At 36.4% G+C, this 21,480-nt stretch overlaps 1 annotated feature.

Annotated features, from left to right (window-relative positions):
• Nucleotides 18,450-19,649: an enhancer, noted in NCBI's record as "CDK7 strongly-dependent group 2 enhancer chr9:21684484-21685683 (GRCh37/hg19 assembly coordinates)". NCBI's record gives its function as "activates an origin of replication core promoter dependent on BRD2, BRD4, P300/CBP, MED14 and CDK7 cofactors, with strong dependence on CDK7, by STARR-seq in HCT116 cells {active_cell/tissue: HCT116}" and the evidence as "EXISTENCE:reporter gene assay evidence [ECO:0000049][PMID:35650434]".

Raw genomic sequence — 21,480 nt, forward strand, 5'->3', positions numbered from 1 at the left:
GTGTATGGCAAAAAGAGGTTCAGCTCCCAGTGTCTATGGCTCCAGAGTTGGTGGCTCTTGACTTCTCTGCTATCACATCCCTACAACAAATGTGGGGACAACAAACGTGTCCTGTGTCATATACACAAAGTGAGATTAACTTGTTTGTAGAATCTTCTCCTCATGGCGCTTTCTTGCCATGCAGTGTGATCTTGATTGACATTTGTTCCAATGACTGGACAAGGCTGACTCAGGAGTCTGCTGTCATTTGAGCTGATGCAGGGGGTAAGAAGAAGGTGGCGTTTTATAGCCCTTTACATATTCTGTTGAAAATATATATTTACAGGCCTGGTGCGGTGGCTCACACCTGTAATCCCAGCACTTTGGGAGGCTGAGGCGGGCGGATCACAATATCAGGAGATCGAGACCATCCTGGCTAACACGATGAAACCACGTCTCTACTAAAAATACAAAAAATTAGCCGGGCATGGTGGCGGGCGCCAGTAGTCCCAGCTACTTGGGAGGCTGAGCTTGCAGTGAGCCGAGATTGTGGCAGTGCACTCCAGCCTAGGCGACAGAGTGAGACTCCACCTCAAAAAAAAAAAAAAAAGAAAAGAAAAGAAAATATGTCTTTATAATTAGAAGCCTTCCCATTAGACTGATGATTTCTAAAGTATGAGGTTCCTTGTCTTTCTGTTAACAGAGACTACATTATGTCAGACAAGAACAGCCATTCAGTATCTGGTTTGGAATGAATGATGCAATAAGATAGGCAGATACAGTGGACCTCCCCATGACATCTGTGAAGTCCCAGCAAAAATACAAATGGAAACCTTCAGTCCATGGCCTCCCAACTTGCTTTTCTCATTCCTCACTCATTCCTAGATCATAAGGGACCTTGAAACTTGTATGTGGATACTCTAGCCTGTTATGTGCAAGGTCTGTCCACACTATGCAAATAGAATTCCCTTGGCCACTTCTTTGGCCTATGCTATGCCCTCAGGAGGATGGGCCAGGGAACATGCTTATTCCTAGAATAGAGCTTGGGTCCACTTTGGACATAGAACTCTAGAAAGCTGTGTCTCAGATCATAGTCTAGAAAAGGTCTGGGTGAGCCAGGCTTCCCTTGGTCCCTTTGACCTTTAACCCTTTGTGAAGGGACACCATAGGAAAACTAGATCAGAGCCCTTCAAAATTCAGGGTCTAAAGGTGGTACTGGATCTTGCTATGACCTACTTTATAGAATGAGAAAATAGAAACTCAGACACTTCAAGTGCTTCATTCAGGCTCAAAAACTTAGTGAGGAGATCTAGAACATGAACCAGTGACTTCTAGTGTCAAATCCAAGATATCTTCCACTCTACTCGTTGTTCTATTGTATTTGTATAGGGAAAAATGACAATTTTTCCAAAATATTTAAAAGAAATAATTTCTCTCTTAGCATTTCTCTGCATGTAAAGCTGGGTTCTCCCTCTGGATATCACAAAAAGTTCACACCAACTTTATTACCTCGAGCCTCTGACCTCTAACGCAAAGAATGGGACTGATTGAGAGACAGCAAATTTGTAAGGGCTTCTGTCTTCTGTGGAGCAGAAGTGTCAAAAGTGATGCTTGTTGTGTTGAAAAAAAGTTGAAGTTTTGTAAGAGTTGTAACCAGAGATGTCTCCTTATCATAATAGGTCACTCGTTCAAAAAGGTTTTTAATTTGGACAGGATTGTGGGAAATGAGCATTTTCTTTCATTGCAACGACCAAACTGAACACCAAGTAGTTCTTACTATTTGTATCTCTGGGTTCTAGTCAATATTTTACGTAAAGATCAACTTGATATATATATTTCATTTTAAACTTCAATAAGGACATGTTAAAATATGAGGAAGAATTAATACTAGTTTTTCATGTTCCATTATAATTATCTTTGTGATTGAAACCTTCTTTAAATTGAAGAGGAAAATGAAGTTTCTTATGGACACTGCATTTCAGCCTCTAGGCAAAACTTTGACACAATTTAACAACAACAAAAAAGAGGTCTATAAGTTTCCATGCAAGTGAAAAATGGATAATATTTATGTTATTAATCCTATGAGGGAGATGGTATTTCTCATTTTAAATCCTTCTATGTGTATTTATGATGCTTTGGGGAGACAAACATTTACTCTGACATCTGCCTTAAGTACCAGAAACAGAATGAAAGTGTGAGAAGAATAAAGAGGATGCACTAGGCTTATTTTTGGGAAATATGAGCCTAGACCTGTGAACCCAATATATATGTTATATGTTGCTAACCACTATATGATAAAGAAGAAACAAGTCTCCAGGAATGTGTGTGGGCTAGTGCTGAACCTGGACAGGTTTCTGTGCTTCCTACAAATATTCCTGGCTGCGCCATAAATCCCAGCAAGGTGAACTACATTTCTTGGCCACTGTTCATCCTGTTTTCAGCTCATCCTTGAGGTTGGTTGGATGCTCTCACAGAGGATGCTAATCTTTCAGGCTTCTGAGCTCATGCAGTCCTTCTATCCTTTTGAAAGCACAAATCTCACCAGCTGAAATCAGTCATTATTTCCTTAGGGAACCAAATCTAAACACTAGAACTTCTCTCCCAGCCTGTAATTAAATCTGGCGGGCAGGTCACCAGTGCCACTGGGTCAGGAAAGAGAAGAAAAAGGAAGTGAAAGAAATGGCATTTGTTTCTTGGCTGGCCCCAGTGCTTCTCTGAGAGGTAGGCTCTGGCAGCCACACAGTGGAGTCCCTGTGCCCAGAATATTCGTGCCCAGAATTGTTTCGGGTCTGCCAGCTGGCTCCAAAAAGGTTCTTTCCAATCAGGGTCTTGCTTGCTCACTCAGCACTTGAAGCTGAAGCACATTGCTGGTGGTCTGTTGCTGCCCCAAAAGAATTTTCCCTAATTTACCACCTCTGATTATGAAACAGCAGAGCTTATCATACTTTAAAAGGTATCAGAATCGCTCAGAAAGCTTGTTAAATAAAGATTCCTGGAATTTATTCCCAAGACTTTGATTTAGTGGGTCTAGAGTTATGCCTGAAATTTTGAATTTCTTTTTATTCTGATTTATTCATTTATTTTTCTTAATTGACAAATATAAATTGTATATATTTATCATGTACAACATGATGTTTTGAAATATTATAAACATGTATTTCAAATATATGTGGCTAAATCGAGCTAATTAATATATGTATTATAAGTTAATATATACTTTTATATTTTTATATTATATAGGTATTATAGTATTATATGTTAATATATTATATGTAAAATATATGCAGCTAAATCAAGCTAATTAACATATATATTACCTTATATACTTATTTTTTGTGGTATGAGAACACTTAATATCTACTCTCCTGGCAATTTTCAAGAATACAACACATTTTTATTAACTATAGTGACCATGTTGTATCATAGATCTCTTGAACTTATTTCTCCAATATAACTGAAATTTTGTACCCTTTGACAAGCATCTCCTCAACCCACCCTGCCAGCCCCCGGTAAACACAATTCCACCCTCCTCTTCTAATAAGTCAATTCTTTAGATTCCACATATAAGGGAAATCATGCGGTATTTGTCTTTCTGCGCCAGGCTTATTTCACTTACCATAATGTCCTCCAGGTTCATCCATGTTGTCACAAATGACAGGATTTTCTTCTTTTTTATGGTGGAACAGTATTCCATTGTGTATATACACCACATTTCCTTTATCTATTTATCTGTTGATGGACACTTAGATTGATTCTGTATCTTAGCTATTGTGACTAGTGCTGCAATAAACAGAGGAGTGCAAATATCTCTTCAACATATTGATTTCATTTCCTTTGGATGTATAGCCAGAAGTGAGATTCCTGGAACATTACGAAAGCTCTATTTTTAAGTTTTTGAGAAATTTTCAAACTATTTTCCATAATGGCTGTACTGAGAATTTGCACTTCTAACAAAATCCCAGGTCATGCAGATGTTGGTGATCGACAGCCACAAAAGGCTATGGATGATTGATTGTTTTCTTCCTTAGTCGCCCAGATTTTAGTGTCTAATTTTAAAGTTAAACATGGCTATTATGTTAACTTTTACTGTCATCGCATTTGCATTCTTCTTATCCTTACTGCTTATTTTCTATTTCTATTTTTCTTTCTTACTGTATATGATTTTCGTTGAAGAGGGGGAGTGTTTACTAAATTCAATGACTTTTGAAACTAAGTAGGGTTTTCTTATTTATTCTACTAAGTAATTATACTTGAAGCTATCTACATCAAGTTTTATTCTGTTACGGAACAGGTAAGACCCCAGAAAGAGGTACCAGAGGTGATATTTGGATAATATCTACCCAATTGAATAAGAAATGTTGAATTTAATAGATTCATGCCTCCTGCAATAAAGTGGGGTCCAAATGTAATATCTGCCCTCTGACAAAGAACTTCCCTGATTCTGTCTCATCTGTGTTTAGTTTTGGTCTAAATGCCTGAGGTTGCTACCTCACTATGCTGCTAGTTGGGCTTCTGTCTGTTCCATTTGGGCAGGAAGAAAAAGAGAGAAAATGAAAGCGATGTGGTTTGTCTCACCCTGCCTTATCACAAGGTTCTTACCCCCGAGTTTGGGGTGAGGTTCAAGGAAGAATGAGAATATGACTCAGATGCCCCATCAATACATTTTCCCAAATAAAACAAGAGGTGTATGTAGCTAGTCCTGCCTTACTATCAAATATCAAACTTTTCATTCATTTGCAACTATTTTTAGTATATCAGCAAAGTTTCTCTTAGGTTTCAATGTAGTTAAGGCAGGCTATATACTGTGCTAAATACTGATTCTAAAAGTGTTATTTCCCAGCCAGTCTGTCTCTCTCCCAAAGTAAATGTAGTATAATGCAATTGAGTAGAAGCAATGTTGTTGGAAAGGTAATCTTAAATCCTCCATGATTTATGAAAAATTAAAAGTAAGGCCTTTGCAGGCTTGGCATGATGGTTCATGCCTGTAATCCGAGCACTTTGGGAGGCCGAGGCAGGTGGATCATCTGAGGTCAGGAATTTGAGACCAGCCTGGCCAACATGGTGAAACCCCATCTGTACTAAAAATACAAAATTTAGCCAGATGTGGTGGTGGGTGCCTGTAATCCCAGCTACTCGGAAGGCCGAGGCAGGAGAATCGCTTGAACCCGGGAGGTGGAATTTGCAATGAACTGACATCACGCCATTGCACTCCAGCCTGGGTGACAAGAGCAAAAAACTCCGTCTCAATAAATAAATAAATAAATGAAATAAGTCCTTTGTAAACATTGACACCTTATTAGTTGTGCATTTTTTTGTCATATACTTCACAGCTAACTGTGGCATGCTAAGATGTCTGGGCTCTTATTTGAGTCTTTTAACGTTGGTTAGTTGCTGGTCATCATCATTTTGGTGAAAACTTACTTTCTATTATGTGTAGATTTTTTGATCTTCTGTTTCTCCACTGCCTTCTCATATCTCTGAAAATTACTACTTACATGCATTTAACCTGAAAAAAAACTCAAGACCTTAAAGAAGGTCCAGTGGTCTGTATGAAATATTTGGAAAATAAAGAAGAACGTATTCTTGGGAAGTAAGAAAGTATCATTAGAAAGCTTGACTTTGAATAGGATCCATCATCTCTCATCCAGAGCTATCAATCTGTTACCTTTCTTAAGCAATTTACTCTAAAGGGAGACAGATAGAAAGCCCACATGGTTGAAAGAGGTACGAGATAAACAGATATACCCAAATCTATATCTATCTATCTATTTAATCTACCATCTCCAGAACTAGAGAAAATAAAAAGAGGAAGATTTTAGTAGCTGCTGTTTTGGAAAATATAATTAAAGTGAAAGTAACAGAAAAAGATTTAAATAATATTTGTTATACATTAAAAATGCAATCCTTTTTGCTTTTTTCATAGTCTGTACTACAAATAAAAATTGGTCTCTATTATTTATGCTCAAATCATTTCACTGCATAAGATACCATGCTGAGACTGTGCCAAATGATCTGCTTTAAAAAGGTTAGAATGTCACTCTTTCATGCAATGCAATAAGTATTTATTTTTCATTTGTTTATTTTTTTCCCTATGGTAGACTCTGCTTCAGAAAATCAAAGAGAAGAATACAGTTCTGCTTGCAAAGTTTACAACCTGGAAAAGCCACAGGTTTGGGGACGGAGAAACAAATACCTGTGACATTAAGCAAAACAGGGGTACTTGCTACAGTAGAAGGGAGAAATGACAAGAAGCAGTCAAAGGGATAGGAGAAGAATCCATTATGTCACTCATGCTAATGCAGGACGTACGCGGTGGTGATCAATACTGCAGATTGGCTGAAAGGGATAAAAACACAGAATAGTTCTCTGTAATTTGAGATCACAGGTCACTACTCTCCTTAAATACAGCATTTTCAGCAATCAGTTGGGACTGAAGCTCACTGATAGTAATTGAGAGTAAGCTAGTAGTGAGACATGGAGGCAAGTCTTTTAAAACATTAGAAAGAAAAAGAAAAAATGACAGTTTTGAATATAACAGATTTGAGGGAAGAGATTATAGACTAGGTGAGGACTAAAAATGTTTGTAGGCAAGGAAAAAATGCCAGGAGAAGTAGAATTTGAGGATGAAAATGTTAAAAATAAAAACAAGTCCTAGAAGTTGAACATAGAAGAAATATAGAAGAAAGGAAGTCTCTTCTTTGTCAGAAATTTGGAGGGGGGTTAGGAGGCAGGTAGAGACTAAAGGAAAACATAGAGTCAAAGAGATTTGAGGTGGAAGCAAGGGATGCTAAATGAACAAAAAAGGCCTGAAGTTTCTGAGCATAGTTGAAGCCGAAGACTCTATTAAGTCTATCAGTTCTCATGGAGAAAGTTAGAGAGAGGTATTCAGTTCTAGAAAAATGATGAGTGATTCACCATACCCTTGCTATGCAGTAATGAGGGTCCAGCTGAAGTCAGTGAGCATAAGCTTGTAATAAACCAAGGCTTGGATTCCTGAGATTAAGTACAGAAGTGCAAGGCAACATGAGCTTCCCCTGGCTGGTGGCTGCTGCTGTGTTCATGGCTACACTGTGACCCACTCATGAAAAGTCATTTAGGATATCAATAAAGGCACCCTGAGACTCAAAGTGTTAAGAGACCTTTGAAGCGTTCAAGAGAAAAATTATAATGAGGATAGAGAGCTGACTGGAGTGAAGGAATGAAAAAGCCCAATATAGGGGAATGAATTTAGGAGCCCAAGAACTTTGAGGTGGAGCTGTGTCACTTCTATTGGGAAGGATAAAGTACAGTGAGACCAATCACTGCAGTCAGCACCATGGATGATCAAATCATTGACACTGATGATGATATGTAAAGGAGAAAAGGATTGTGAGCTATGTACTAAAATAATTGAAGGTAAAATAGAAAAGAAAAAAGGGAGACACTTGGCATGGAAAAATAATGGAAAGCTGCCCCAAACAGAGGAATATAAGTAACTCAACAGTCTACTCCTGAACATGCGCACTATAAATGAGAAAAGTGGGAGAACATAGGGACAAAAAGATGGCTGATAAGAATAGGTAGAAAATAGCATAAGCAATAGCATCAAAGTCACGTTGTTCTTGATATGAGAGGGTTGAGCTAAGTACTAGGTTGGATGGTGCAAAAGTAATTGCAGTTTTTGCCATTAAAGTTTGCCATCAAAACCATATTAAGAATTTGGGATTTTGGCCGGGTGCAGTGGCTCACACCTGTAATCTCAGCACTTTGGGGGGCCAAGGCGGGCGGATCATGAGATCAGGAGATCGAGACCAACCTGGTTAAAATGGTGAAACTCCATCTCTACTAAAAAATACAAAAAATTAGCCAGGCGTGGTGGCGGGCACCTGTAGTCCCAGCTACTTAGGAGGCTGAGGCAGGAAAATGGCGTGAACTCAGGAGGCAGAGGTTGCACTGAGCCGAGATCATGCCACTGCACTCCAGCCTGGGCAACAGAATGAGACTCTGTCTCAAAAAAAAAAAAAAGAATTTGGTTTTTATTCTAAGAGCAATGGGAAGGAATTGAATGATATTAGGCAGTATGATTAACTGGTATGATCAAATTTTACAATTTTCTTTATGCATGGTAAATAGATTGGAGGGGTGAAAATATATTTTAGGAGTCCATTTAGGAGACAATTATAGTAGTGTATGTGAACTGTGATGGCAGCTTGTCTAGGATGGAGACAGGCAGATTAGAGAAATATATCCAAGTACAACTGACAAACTTGGTTTTAAAGGTCAGGGGGAGAGCTGACTTCTGAGAGTCTGGCAGCGGTCTGCAAATTTATATGAAGGGTCAGATAATAAGGATTTTAAGTGTTTCAGGCTCTATCGTCTCTGTTACAGCTGTTCAACTCTGCTATTGTAGTGCAAAGCAGCCATAGCCAATACGTAATACGTACAACTATGTTACAATTGCTCTTTACTTGTAGACGTCGGAATTTGAATTTCACATAATTTTTATGCCATGAAATATTTTTCTTTTAAAGTTTTTTTAACCATTTAAGAATATTAAAACCATTCTTAGCTTACTAGTCATATACAATCAGGCAGAGGGTTGGATTTGGCCTACAGGGCTATAGCTTTTCAACCTCTCAGCTGGGGCAACAAACTAGAAGTTGTTGCTACATACCGAAACACTGGAAGGGAACGAAGAAAACGTTCAAGGATTGAGAGATGTTTATTGTAGGAAAACTAAGTTCTAAAAAGCCTACAAAAAGAACTGTTAGAACAGTGGGTATTAATGAATTATGATGGGGAAAAAAAGAAAATGTAGCTTTCAGATTACTTGGTGGAAAGGGGGAATGGAAATTTACTGGAATTAGAAAAGTGGGGTTTTGGGAATCTTCTGCAACTATGCCATTAAGGGTCTATGAGTAAATAACTTCTGGCATAATAAGGTCTATGATAAAGGCTTGGATATTAATTCCATAACATATTACTTAGTGAGTAATAAACTGTCATTGATAATCCAAACAGGCACACCCTCAGTTTAGGACTATTACCTCAGCTTGAGTCACTGGTCTTCCATAATTAGGAAGTGATTTCTGCACCTCTCATCTCCACTTGGACAAACCATAGAGGCTCCAGACTTGGATAAAGATGCCTCATTTGTTGACAAAAGTGGTGAATTAGGCAGGGTGAGGGATTTCGATTCCAGAAGCAGAGGCTTCCTTAGGGACTCCACAGCAAATTATGATAGAAGTAGCATAAAATAGAAGTCTGTTTTGCTCAAAATCTTCTAAAGCAAGTTTTTGTCACTAATTTACTTTGTTACCTTGAGAAGTCAAGAGAACTAAGAAGCACCAACTGTCTACCGCTTACCGGGCATTAAAAATATACAATTTTAATTAAAACCTCCATGGCATTCCTAGCAAGTAATTATTATTATCTCCATTCCATGAAAGAAAATTCCAAGAATCAGCAAACTCAAGTAACTTGTCTAAGTTTATATAGTTACTAAGACAGAATTCAAGCCTGGTTCTGTTTGACTCCAAAACTCAAGCCCTTATACAAAACCATACTGGCTCCTTGAACTTCAGTTTGCTCATCTGTAAAGAGAAGAAATGCCATTAAATGATTTATCATGTCTCTTTGGTCTCCAGCACTCTGTAAGTTTAGTTTCATAGAGGCATGATGGCCATAAGGAGCAGGAGACATGGAAATACATAATGTGCCTCAACTTGTGACATAATTTTCCTTCCAATTTAATGCCATCGTCTGAAATTATGAGATGAATGCATGTCTAAATTCAAAGTTACAGGATGATACTACTTCAGATTTAAAATCAAAAAGTGTATGAATTATCCAGATAGGCAATATGAGCCCTGGGTATTCATTCCTTTCAAACTTTTCCAAAAAATTTTTAAAAATAAGACAAAAATTATACAATGTGCCACCAACAAGCATGTCAGTTATTGAAATTATTAGGTAAAAAACTTACTAATCAGGTTTTTGATCTGACACTTTTTTAACTGACAAATAGTGAAGCCTTTAGAAGTGATTTTTTTCTCTTAGTGTGCTGCTGTTAGTTAAGTGCTTTGTACTTTGATGGAAAGCATTAGACTTGTCAAAATATTTCCCACACGATCACTGGGTAGGAGGTGGAATGAAAGACAGAGAGAATGAACCAGGTAGAACCCTCCAATGAGGGGGAACCATGAGCAACAACGTTCCAGGAAAGTTTCTACACTGAAAAGTGTTTCTAAGCAGAATGTTAAACATAAATGGACATGGCAGCAACCATCATTTTGGAAAATCACTGTGTAGACATTTACTAAATATCATAATGATACTTACTTTCATTTACATTTGTAATATATGAGAAACTAATATGACAATTATAATACTCTCCACAAGTGTGATAAAAGGAAAGGAGAATACAGGCTTTATACTGAAAGGAAGGAAAAAAGAAGGAAAGAAAGAGGGAGGGAGAGAAGGAGGAAATGAAAAAAATGAAATTTTTTGCCAACTTCTGAGTTCACTTTTCAAAGATTTGGGGTTTTCTCCTTTATTCCTAGTTGAACCTTTGCTTTGTAAAAGTTAAATTGCATATGCTTAAACCAATAAAGGTCTTATAATAAGTTGTTGCTGTTATTGTTGTTTTGCAAAAGGGGGCATTTTTCTTTTCCCTTTTTTCCATTATTTTGAATCCATATTTATTAGCAGTTTAGACACATTAAGAGAACTCACAGAAAACTTCCATAGCACTATGCTCTCAACTTTATATGAACTTTATATAAGTGTTCTTATACATTTGTAATGTTCCTAGAGTACATCTGCAGGGTTACTCTTCAATTACATTTTGGAGCTAAGTGACATTTACGAGCATTATTTTTATTATATTTGTAACAGAACAAAACAAAATACCACCACACATTTTGGTATTTTACTTTAAAAATGTTTGAAATCTAACATCAAACATAAAACATGTAAAGAGGATATATTGTTTTTTTATTTTCCTTGCTATAAGTAAGCTAAAGATTATAAGTTGTCATTAATGATATTTAAAAAGATATTTCAGCAGATATTTTGTTTACACCTTGAAAACATCCAAATGGGCAAGGTGCGGCGGCTCACCCCTGTAAACCCAGCACTTTGGGAGGCCGTGGTGGGCAGATCACTTGAGGCCAGGAGTTCAAGACCAGCCTGGCCAAAACGGTGAAACCCCAACTCTACTAAAAACACAAAAATTAGCCAGGCGTGGTGGGGTGTGCCTGTAATCTCAGCTACTTCGGAGGCTGAGGCAGGAGAATCGCTTGAACCCAGGAGGCGGAAATTGCAGTGAGCCAAGATCGCACCACTACACTCCAGCCTGGGTGATACAGCAGACTCCTTCTTAAAAAATAAAAATTGAAAACTAAATAAAAATTTAAAAAATCCAAATGATTCAGCTAATTCTTATTCATATTTAAAGAAAGTATTTCAGAGCAAAGTATAAGAGCTTAATTTGTTAAATTCTCCTATCCCACAGCCTGCCAAGCCAAAGGTTGAAGACCAGACTTGCCCAAACCCATAGAAAGTGAGAAGATTTCATATGGCTGTGTATGGGAGCTAAGTGCTTCTGTTCTGATTGAATGTGTAAAGAAAGGGATAGTTAAATGCACAGCTTTTTTGACTTTCAATTTTCCCTGACATTTTGGGGAAATACAGCTTTCTTAACCTGTGTGAAAACAGCAGATTACTGAGTAACACCTGAGAGGCTATCAAATAAATATTTTCTGCACTTTCGATTTCTTTATTATGCCACAAGTTAATTTATCTTCCGTAGAGAAGGTAGGGTAAAATTAGCCACAGAGACTGAAAGTGACTCTAAATCCCTGAATGTTATAAGGATATGTGTAAGCAAGTAATAATTATGACTTATTCTCTGTCTTTCATGCCTACTTGCTTAGTCAGGTGTGATTAAAGCTTAATCAGCTTGGAACATGGTTATTGTAAATATCATAAATAGATATACTAATTTAAACACTGAATAAAGCATGAATTGCTGCGTGATTTTTATCAAAAAGGCAAGGTATGACTCATCAGTTCCTTTCTCTTAAGTAAATGACCTAAACACCATGCTGCACCCACACTAAGATTAAATCCAAATACGTCCTCCCACTTGTCCATCTTTTCTATCAAGTCATCCTATTCTATTCTTTGGATGAGTCCTGTGATTTTTTTTCAATGGGTCAGAGCCAATCACGGGTTATTTCATCTCTGTGACACCAGTAAAAATGTTGGATTCAGTTTTTTTAAAAATTATTAATTCATCTAAGAGGTAATATAAGTAAAACAACTGGGGACTTCGGGAATTTTTTTTTAATTTACAGTATTTGAAGACCTGTTTCAGTTTGCCAAAGCAATCTATACATACATATAATTGCTTTTCCTAATTGCTCCAAATAATTTCTCAAGTTTCTGACTTTTCAGGCAATATGGTATTTATCATATATCTCTTACCAGTCTAGAACAGAAACAAATTTTTTAAATGAAAATGTGTTTTTCTATTACTTTTCTTCTAAAGATAATAGTTTCCACGGCTTCTTTGAAACATTCTGGAAGTAAAATATGAGTGACATAAGGCAAAATTATAATTGTTGAGGATGATATGATATTACAAAGAAATGTGTTTATTTCCAGATTCTCAGCTCTGTAGAAGAATTCAATGTAGTGTTAAATTTGTCCACATGCAGTGTTAAATTTGTTATCTTTTGTTTTATTTCTCCCAAAATGAGCATAAATGCTATTGGGAAAGAGAGGTCAACGCTTTTGAATATAATCAAGATTTAATAGAATAGATTATAATTTATATTTTATAATGCTCTGAAGTTGAAGCCAAAAACTGCTTCTAACCTAGAATCAGGTTGAAATGTGTTATTAAGTCTTGATTGAGACTATTAATTTCAGCAAGATCCTTTTTTGCAATTTTTATACTTTTGTAATTATTTAAAAGTCCAGTTATTTTAAATGTATGGGAAAATTTGCTTTCCTTCTTTTTTATTTTTTGCAAAAAAAAATTCAAAAATTAGAAAAGAGAGTTAAAGGAAACTTCATGTATATCTTCTATTATAAACTTTTGGTGATACAAAACATAATGTTACTGAAATAGGTCATAAATAATTTGTATTTCACTGGGATAGCAGAATTAGATAAGTAATTTACTAGAGTGAAGTATTATGTTCTGAATTTTAAAGACAACTTTAGCATGAACTTTAATACCAAATTACACTTCAAAAGTTGAATAACAACAATGTCACGGTTACACATATTTTTAAAAGTACACATTTGTATATGCAACTATTTTAAATACATGCTGCTGTTTTTCTTATCTGCCTTGGATTTTTCTAACTTTTATAAGAATGTGGAAAAGAACCATTTTATTTTACCTGGTAAATAGACATTACAATCTACAGTGGTATGGGGAGCTGAAGAAGATTTCTTTATAACTAGAGCAGTTTCCTAACAGAATTTGAACTTTCTGCAGATATGAGTCTGACAGGTAGAAAAACCACAGAGCAGCCAGGCTCAGCTGGGTCCAGAACATTTGAAAGACTGTCCCAAGAATCCTGGCAGCACCCAGATGATAGTGTGCTCCTTTCGACAGTCACTGTATTCATTCCTTGGAAACCAGTATCAGGCTAAGAATTCCCTAAGGAGCATTTGGCAGCCAGGAAACTGATTCCAGCCCTGAAAGCAATGTTCTCCAAACTTCATTTACCCCTTAAAAGAACATGAAAATCTCCATAACCTCTTGCAAAAGTTTAAAGTGATATCTAAAATTTGTCCAAAATGTAAATATTACAAATTGTGTAACTTCCAACTTTTCTTAAATATTGATCGTTTTATATTGTTTTAAAATTGTTATATAATTTTAAAATGCATCTTATGAAATTTAGATAAGAAAGTGATTTAATTTCCTGTCATCAGAAATCTAAGAAAATAGCAATCCATAAATGAACTCTTCATTAACATCTGGAAATTTTACATCTTCTCTCTATTTTTTAAGCCTATTTTAAAAGTTCCCTTTCGCATCAAGTTTTATCCAAATTTCATATAATTTAATTCACAAAATATAATTTTATTTTATTCTTAAATCTTCTACTAATGACCCTGTTATACTTCTTTGCAGCAAAAATATAAAAGAAATATAATTTTTTAATTTCCTAACAGGTTGTAAATGTTAAAAAATATTTCTTCTGTAATATTACAAGTATTAGTAGTAAGCATGTATTAATAATGTATCAAAATACATTCTATTATTGAATCATTTAATATAACTAATTAAAATATTAAAATATTGATAAGTATACATTAAATCTAAAAGAACAAAATTATCTCTTAACGGGTTTTGGTTTTTCCCTCATAGATCTGTATCTGAATGCTACTTATTGCTAGAATAAGTTAGAGTTTGATATTACTTCTATTCTTGTCATTTTAACTGAGGTAAACGCTAAAACAAACAAACAAAACCTTTATTTATGAATGAGAATGAAAACACTTTTTAATTACAGTTATGACGTTTAATTCTTGGACCTTTATACAACTTTTGTGCCAAAAATTACTGTCAATGCAAAAGTATTTTTAAAGATCTATCAGCGAAAAATTTGTTTAGCCCTTCTTCATTTTAGCAGAAGGCAAAGAATTAGAGCCCCCCTGTGATTTGTTACCCAGACATGAAACTCTCCCTCTTCCACGCCTACACCAGCTGAAGTGTTTTTCCCTCCAAGACAATGCTTCATATTAAGATTCCAGGTGGAGGAAAAGCATGGCTTCTTTGTAACTACAGACCGTTTTTTAGGAAAGAATTCACAGGATACGTGTGGCTGTGAAAACATCCTTAACATTATCCATGCCCTTAGAAAGTCTTTGTGAACCTCCATATAAGTACTTTTGTTGAGGACCACTGTCTTGCATCTGTGGCACTTGGTGACCTAAGAAGTATTAAAGAAAAAATAAATAGGAAGATGGGCTGTTTTCACTGCATGCCTACTGATGGTTTTTCTGTAACAGTTTGTGATTATTTCTTAAAACCTGACAAATAGATAAGAAACACAAGTCAGTGTGCTACACCAAGAAAGGCCTGGATTTAAGAATCCGAAAGCATGGTTTCAACTATTAGCTATATTCCTAATTGGCCTCTGGAAAACTTCACTACATTTCTCTGGGCCTCAGTTTTCTCATTTGAAGCCTGGGACAGTGTTTCCGAAAGCTAACTGAGATGATTTTAAGTGGTGTATGTCCAAACTTGACTTGATACACATTTCTTTTATTATTTATCAGGAAAAAATAGTCAATCTACTAAGTCCATGATCCTTGAATATAGTTTTTTAGAAGGTATCTAAAGGATATTTTAGTTTTTTAAAAAAATAATCTATTTAGAAAAAATATTAAATAACTAGATATGTTAAAATTCATGTGTAGGAATTAATGAAGTTTGTGAAAAACTAGAAGACTTACAATTTCCATGGTTCTGTCAAGATCTAGCATTATATAATTCTATAAAAAACATTTGGAAGGAAAAAAAAGAAAGGGAGAAAACAAGGAAGGAAGAGGGAGAGGAAGGGAGAAAGGACTTTAAGAAGGCTATGTATTTCTAGGTAGACTTGTAAAACCTCATAGTCATGGATGGCAAATAGCATCCCACGCAAGAAAGTTCAAAAGGCAAGTTCAGGCAAATTATTCATTTAAGCATTAATGAATAGATGTTTTAAAGGCAGAATACCAATTATGCGAATCAGCCTTTCTTAACTCTCTGAGCTTGAGCTAAAAATCTTCACGATGTCTATATAGCCAAGTGATGAGGAAATCTGAGTAATTACCCAGGAAAGGCAAGCAAATAAAACTTAACCACAAGGCTCAGAGGACTGAGTTACATGCCTACATAGGCTGTCTTTACTGATAGAATTATTCAGGTAATCTAATAACCCCCTTATCACATGGCCTATGTTGCCACAGCCAATTCCTAATGCCAGACTTTTAGTCAGGATAGCTTACGGAGAATAAATGTTCTGCAAATAGTGTAGGTTTTTCCAGGTTAGTAAAGAAATTCAACTTTTCAAAAAGGTTATCCACTACTCAGAGACAAAGAATAGACTGAATTAATGAGTATTCGTATAAGCAATTTCCTAAGCCTTATAGATTTAGAATATGTGTAAATGCATCCAGCTAGCAATATTAGGATATTTTTAGCTTCATTTTTTTAGTAATATATTAAGAGCAAACTCCAGCTTTCCTTCTTGTTCCTTCTTGTGTCCTAATCCTTAAGATCAATAAAACGAAAGTTGTTCAGTCAAATAAAAATATTTAGTGTGTACATGCACAGAGGCACACACACACATACATACACACATGAACACAGGTACACATAAACACCACCAAACAAAATTTATGTTAGAATTGCTTCAATTAAAGAATAAATCAATCCAAGAAGCGTATGAGAAACATTATCTCAGCTATGCCCTAAGCTAATTCCTTTTTTGTCCTCTTGTCTTATATTCTAACAAAGGAAAGTCACTCTATTTGGCCTAGTCTACAGTGTTTCTCAGGCTCTAAGTGCCTTTTCTCCAAATAACCATAGTAACTCTATATTTGTTGTTTTACTAAGCATTTTTCCACCCATTTTCTGTATTAAATATAACAGCCTTATGGGATAGGAACACCTAAAGAAGAACCGGACAGTTTCTCTGAGCATTTCCTTTTGCTAGAAAAGTTTAGAATAATAAGAAAGCAACACTAATAACAGCTGCCATTTATTAAACACTTATTACTACTGAGGAGTTTTTAAGCACAAAAATATTTCTTATTCCTCACAACATTGAAAAGAGATATTACTTTATTTTATAGATCAGTAAGATGCTCTGAGGTTGACATTCTCAGGGTTATACACACAGTAGTGGCAGAATTGGGGACTGAACCTAAATTGATATTTTCGTGAAACCAGAAGGACTTTCTTCTATTTCACCCCACTCCCTTACTAATGGTTCTCACTTAATGTTTGTTGAGTGAAACCTAATACTCAGACATGCTCTTTTCAAATGAGCTCAATAGCAGATGTCTGTTCAAATCCCTTAGGTAATTAGAAGTAGAAATGGTTGGAAATTTCCCAATTGACTATGAGTAATAGTGAGGCCATCTGGGTAATATATAAACCCATTCACACCAATTCTTCTCCAAATGCCCCAGAAGCATTATTACTTAGCAGAGCAGGCCAAAGAAGGTTAACCGGCTGCTTTAAAGGAAAGGTGGGGAAAGAGGAGCTTTGCTCTAACATGGTCAGGTCATTCTACTGCCAGTACCATCCTGGAAGGGTCTGGTTTCAACAGGTGTCAGTCCAGGGACTATTACAAAGAAGGAAACGGAAAAATAGGGCAGCACACACTTTTTAAAAAGTCTTTCCTTATTTATTCGTAAGTTGAAAGGAGAGAGTGATGGCAGAATGTGAGTGTAGTATATTAAGATATGAAATACAACAGCTGAATGAGTAGAGTGTTTTCACTGTTCTGGTAAGAATGAAATACATGGGTATATTCAAACTAAATGCTCTTATATATGCATTTCAAACTGGTATTGCTCAATATAAAGATATATGATGAAATGATAAAATTCATGCCAATAATTTAAATTAAAATCTTCTTTATTTAGAACATTAAATAGCAAATAAAACACCATAAGAAGCTGAAGAGGGTCTGTCAAAGGAAGACCACCAATCTACCACCAGGAGTCGATTTCAGTTCCCCTAAATATCCAAGCATGAGGGAATGCTGGCAATGTGAACGTTCAATGGTAAAGTATCTGAGGATTTTGCAGATGCAGGTTGTCAAACTCATCATTAATGGAAGTAATCAAGAGCTCTAAGCATCCTTTTTCTTTTCCATAAGTTCCAGGGTGCATGTGCATACATTCTAAATGCTGGTCTGTTAAACCGATGTGCAAATTTTCAAGGACTATGCCAAAAGATAATAGCAGCAAGCCCACATTCAAATGCTGGAGAAAAGGAATGGGCTCATGACAATGAGCAAGTTAGATAATGCTTACAAATCACACTCGGGAGGCATTTTCTTCATGTTCACAGAATCTGTAAAATCCCTTTGCAGCAGAGTATGGCATGTTTTATTTTTTTCTTTTTCCAAGTTAGGTAACAAGTTTAGAATATATCTAAAATTTATTGGATACTAATTGTGTCCTAGGGTCTCTGTTTAGAACATTTATTTGCACTGTCTTATTTAATCCTTACAACAAGCTTATGAGGAAAATTTCATTATTACTCTATGTATTACATGAGGAAGCTGAAGATTAAGGAAGTCAACCGTCAATAGCCATGTAGCTATTAAGTGGGCCTCTGAGATTCTAGAACAGATCAATCTGACTCCAGACTCCTTTACCACACACTGCATTATTTGATAAGAACGTAAGGGAGTTGCCCAGAGCATCTAATCTCAAACCTATCTCTATTAATTCCAAAGTCCTTTATTTTTCCATGCCCACATTCTCCTCTATATTGAATCTTGTAGTGGATTTTATTAAATGAAGTGTGGATTTTCCCTCTCTAAGAATGTCTACAGTGAAGTTATTTACCACAAGATGGTTTTCATCCAGACAGAGGTATATCTAACACGAATAAATATTTTCTGAGCATTTACCATCTGCCCCACACTACAGTAACACTGTCGAGTTCACTGAAATGAACCTGATGGCTTCTGTGATTCCAGGCAGCAACATGTTTCTCTAAATCCAATGAAAATAGGAACTTATAACATCTTCAGCTTACATATTTACTGTTAACACGAAGGGGGAAATAAAATGATTTCATTTCCCTTTCGCTGTTTGAGGAGCAGTAAAGCCCAGCTTCTTGACTTTGAGTCATACACCTTGAATGGTAGGTTGGGCAAACTGGTGGTCACCTTCAGGTCCCAACCTGTAGAGCAACCCACCTTGGAAAGCCTCATCATTCAGGGAGGTAAGTGTGCCAGGCTCCACAAACCTGGACTTGCTGGTGAAAAGTCTCTCCAGCCAAGAACAGCACAGCCAGGAAAGGGTAGTGGGAGGTAGAAAGCAAGCTCAGAGCTGGCAAGTGGACAGAATGAGTCACCTCTTTGATGTGGAGTGGTTATTCCAAACACAGCAAAGGTGAGCAAGCATTTCCTTCCTCTGACTACCCTAACTACAGCGGCAACAGCCCCTTAATGTAGGAAACTGAGTCACAGGCTAGGAAGGTTTCAGAGATGCAGGAGGAAAATTGCTAGACTATACTGTAATACCAATCTTACTAAGATAAATTTAGTGTCAGCCTGGTAAAATATCATTCTGCCTTATTTGCATAAACTAATTTTCCCTTGTTTCCACAACCTTTCCTCATTGCTCCCTATTCTTAGTAGGGATGCCAGTTAAGAAATGTACACATAGAGCAAGACCTTTCAGCAGAATTAACTCTTTAAAGGAATCAGTGAATGTGAGTGAAAAGAAGACTGGGATTGTCTTATTAAGAGAATGAAAACGCCGTAAAAAAAAAAAGGTTGTTAAACCCACTGGTGGTTCTGGGAGTGGCTGGTTCTTTCATAAGAACAGTTTGGTATACTGGGTCATGCTAGAATTCGCCTGCCTCAGCCTAAATGGATTGAGTCCATTTGCAGAAAACAGAGGAAAAGTACGCTGTTTCCACTGGTTTCAACTTGGAGCAGGATTGTCTGTTGGTGTCTCAGCATGGGGCCTTCTTCACTCTCCCTGGAAGCAAGGCCCAGAAACATAAAGGCTATGTTTTCTAGACTCCTTGTAAGTAGTGCTCTGATTTAGGGTCTTCTAACGAGAGACACTTGCACGAGAAGGTGGAAGAGAAGGCACTGTTATTGCTCTGGAGTTAGTGAGCAGGTACAGGGTCACTGGCAGATAGCAGATCTGAGGTTTTGCCAGTGACTTTTGGGGGTCTGCCTGAAAATCACCTACTTAGGTGCTTCAGACAACTGAGACAGGTGATGAAGGTCCCCTGCAACTCCTGCCTTACCTGATTTCCTGAATACTTGTGGCAGTTTCCCTGATTTTCTTGTCTTACAATGTTTTGTAAACCCTAAATTAAATTTCCTGATTGAATAGCTAAAGAGGTTTCTGTTTTAGACTAAACCCTACTTGTCACATACTTCGAAGGGGCAAAGAATATATCCAAATAATTCACCTTTCATAAATTATTAAGAATCTATTTTTATGTAAGAATTCATCTTTTTCAAACGTTTATATTTTCATTATGTACCAATTCTTGTGGCAATGACTTACAAAATTTACTATGGAGTCATGAAATGTATTTCATGCTTCTCATGACATCTGTTGTATATTAACATATGTTCATCTATCCTATGTCCTTGAAGAGTGCTATATGTTTGGTCTGTTCTTATGTCAGAGAACACAAAAATACACACACCCACAACCTGAATTTTAGTTTGTAAATTTAGTGGCTTTGTCTGAAGCTTTTCTGAGCAAAGAGTAGAAGGAGAGAGAGAAATGACCTGAATTCTTAAGAATAGCATCCAAAATTTTGACTCATATAGGCCAGAGTAAAGGGGAAAGGTGAGTCTTTCAGAGAAAACATAATCTTCGTGAATTAACTTTTTTCCTTCACAAAGATCAGGCTTAATCTTTGCTCCCTCTTGCCTCTCTCATATTTATTTTCATTTCCCAATCAGCAAAGGAAATATGCTTAATTTTAGACTTAACCTGAAGCTCAACATTGTGGGTAAGGGGACTTGTTCTGAGCAGTTTAAATTCTAAGGCCTCATGATTATTGAATAAACACTGAATGAAAATAGAGCGACTAAAATATCATGAGATTAATAAGTTTGACATGATTGTGTACGCTTTAGTTTGCTTATGTAGGACATTATAACTGAAAGAAATGCTCTGCAATTTTGTGGATGATGTCATTTGATTATTTGACTTTCCTAGAAAGGAATAATTTAGATGTTCACTGCCCAAACTATATCATCTCTCTTTCCTTCAGGGTGTGCTATAAGATTTTCAGTGTAAATAAGATGTCAAAAATTGGAAGCCCAAACCACAGAACAAAGATGGCTTGCAGATTCATCTATGTATTCAGTCCTTCATTTAAAAAATCATTAATGAAGTTTCTACTATATGCCAGCCTCTGTTCTAGGCACTGGGGACATAGCCATGAGCAAAATAAACTAAAATCTCTGTCTTCGAGTAGTTTACATTCTATTGTTGGAAGAGATAGAAAACAAATCCAATAAATAAAATTCATAATATTAGAGGAAGACAAGTGTTTTTGAACAAAATCAAGTTGGGAGGAAGTGTGGGGAGAGGATACGATTTCAAATAGGGTGGTCAAGGAAGGTCTCACTGAGGTGAAGACATTTAATAAAAGACATGAAGGAGATGAAGGAATGAGCTATGTGGCTATGTAGGGAAAGGGTGCTCCTGATGAGGAAAGTGCTGGTGCAGTGGCCTTGAGACAGGAGAGTGCACTGCACAGCTCAGGAACAGCTGGGT

Source organism: Homo sapiens, chromosome 9 (assembly GCF_000001405.40).
Source record: "Homo sapiens chromosome 9, GRCh38.p14 Primary Assembly".
NCBI classification, from domain to species: Eukaryota; Metazoa; Chordata; class Mammalia; order Primates; family Hominidae; genus Homo; species Homo sapiens.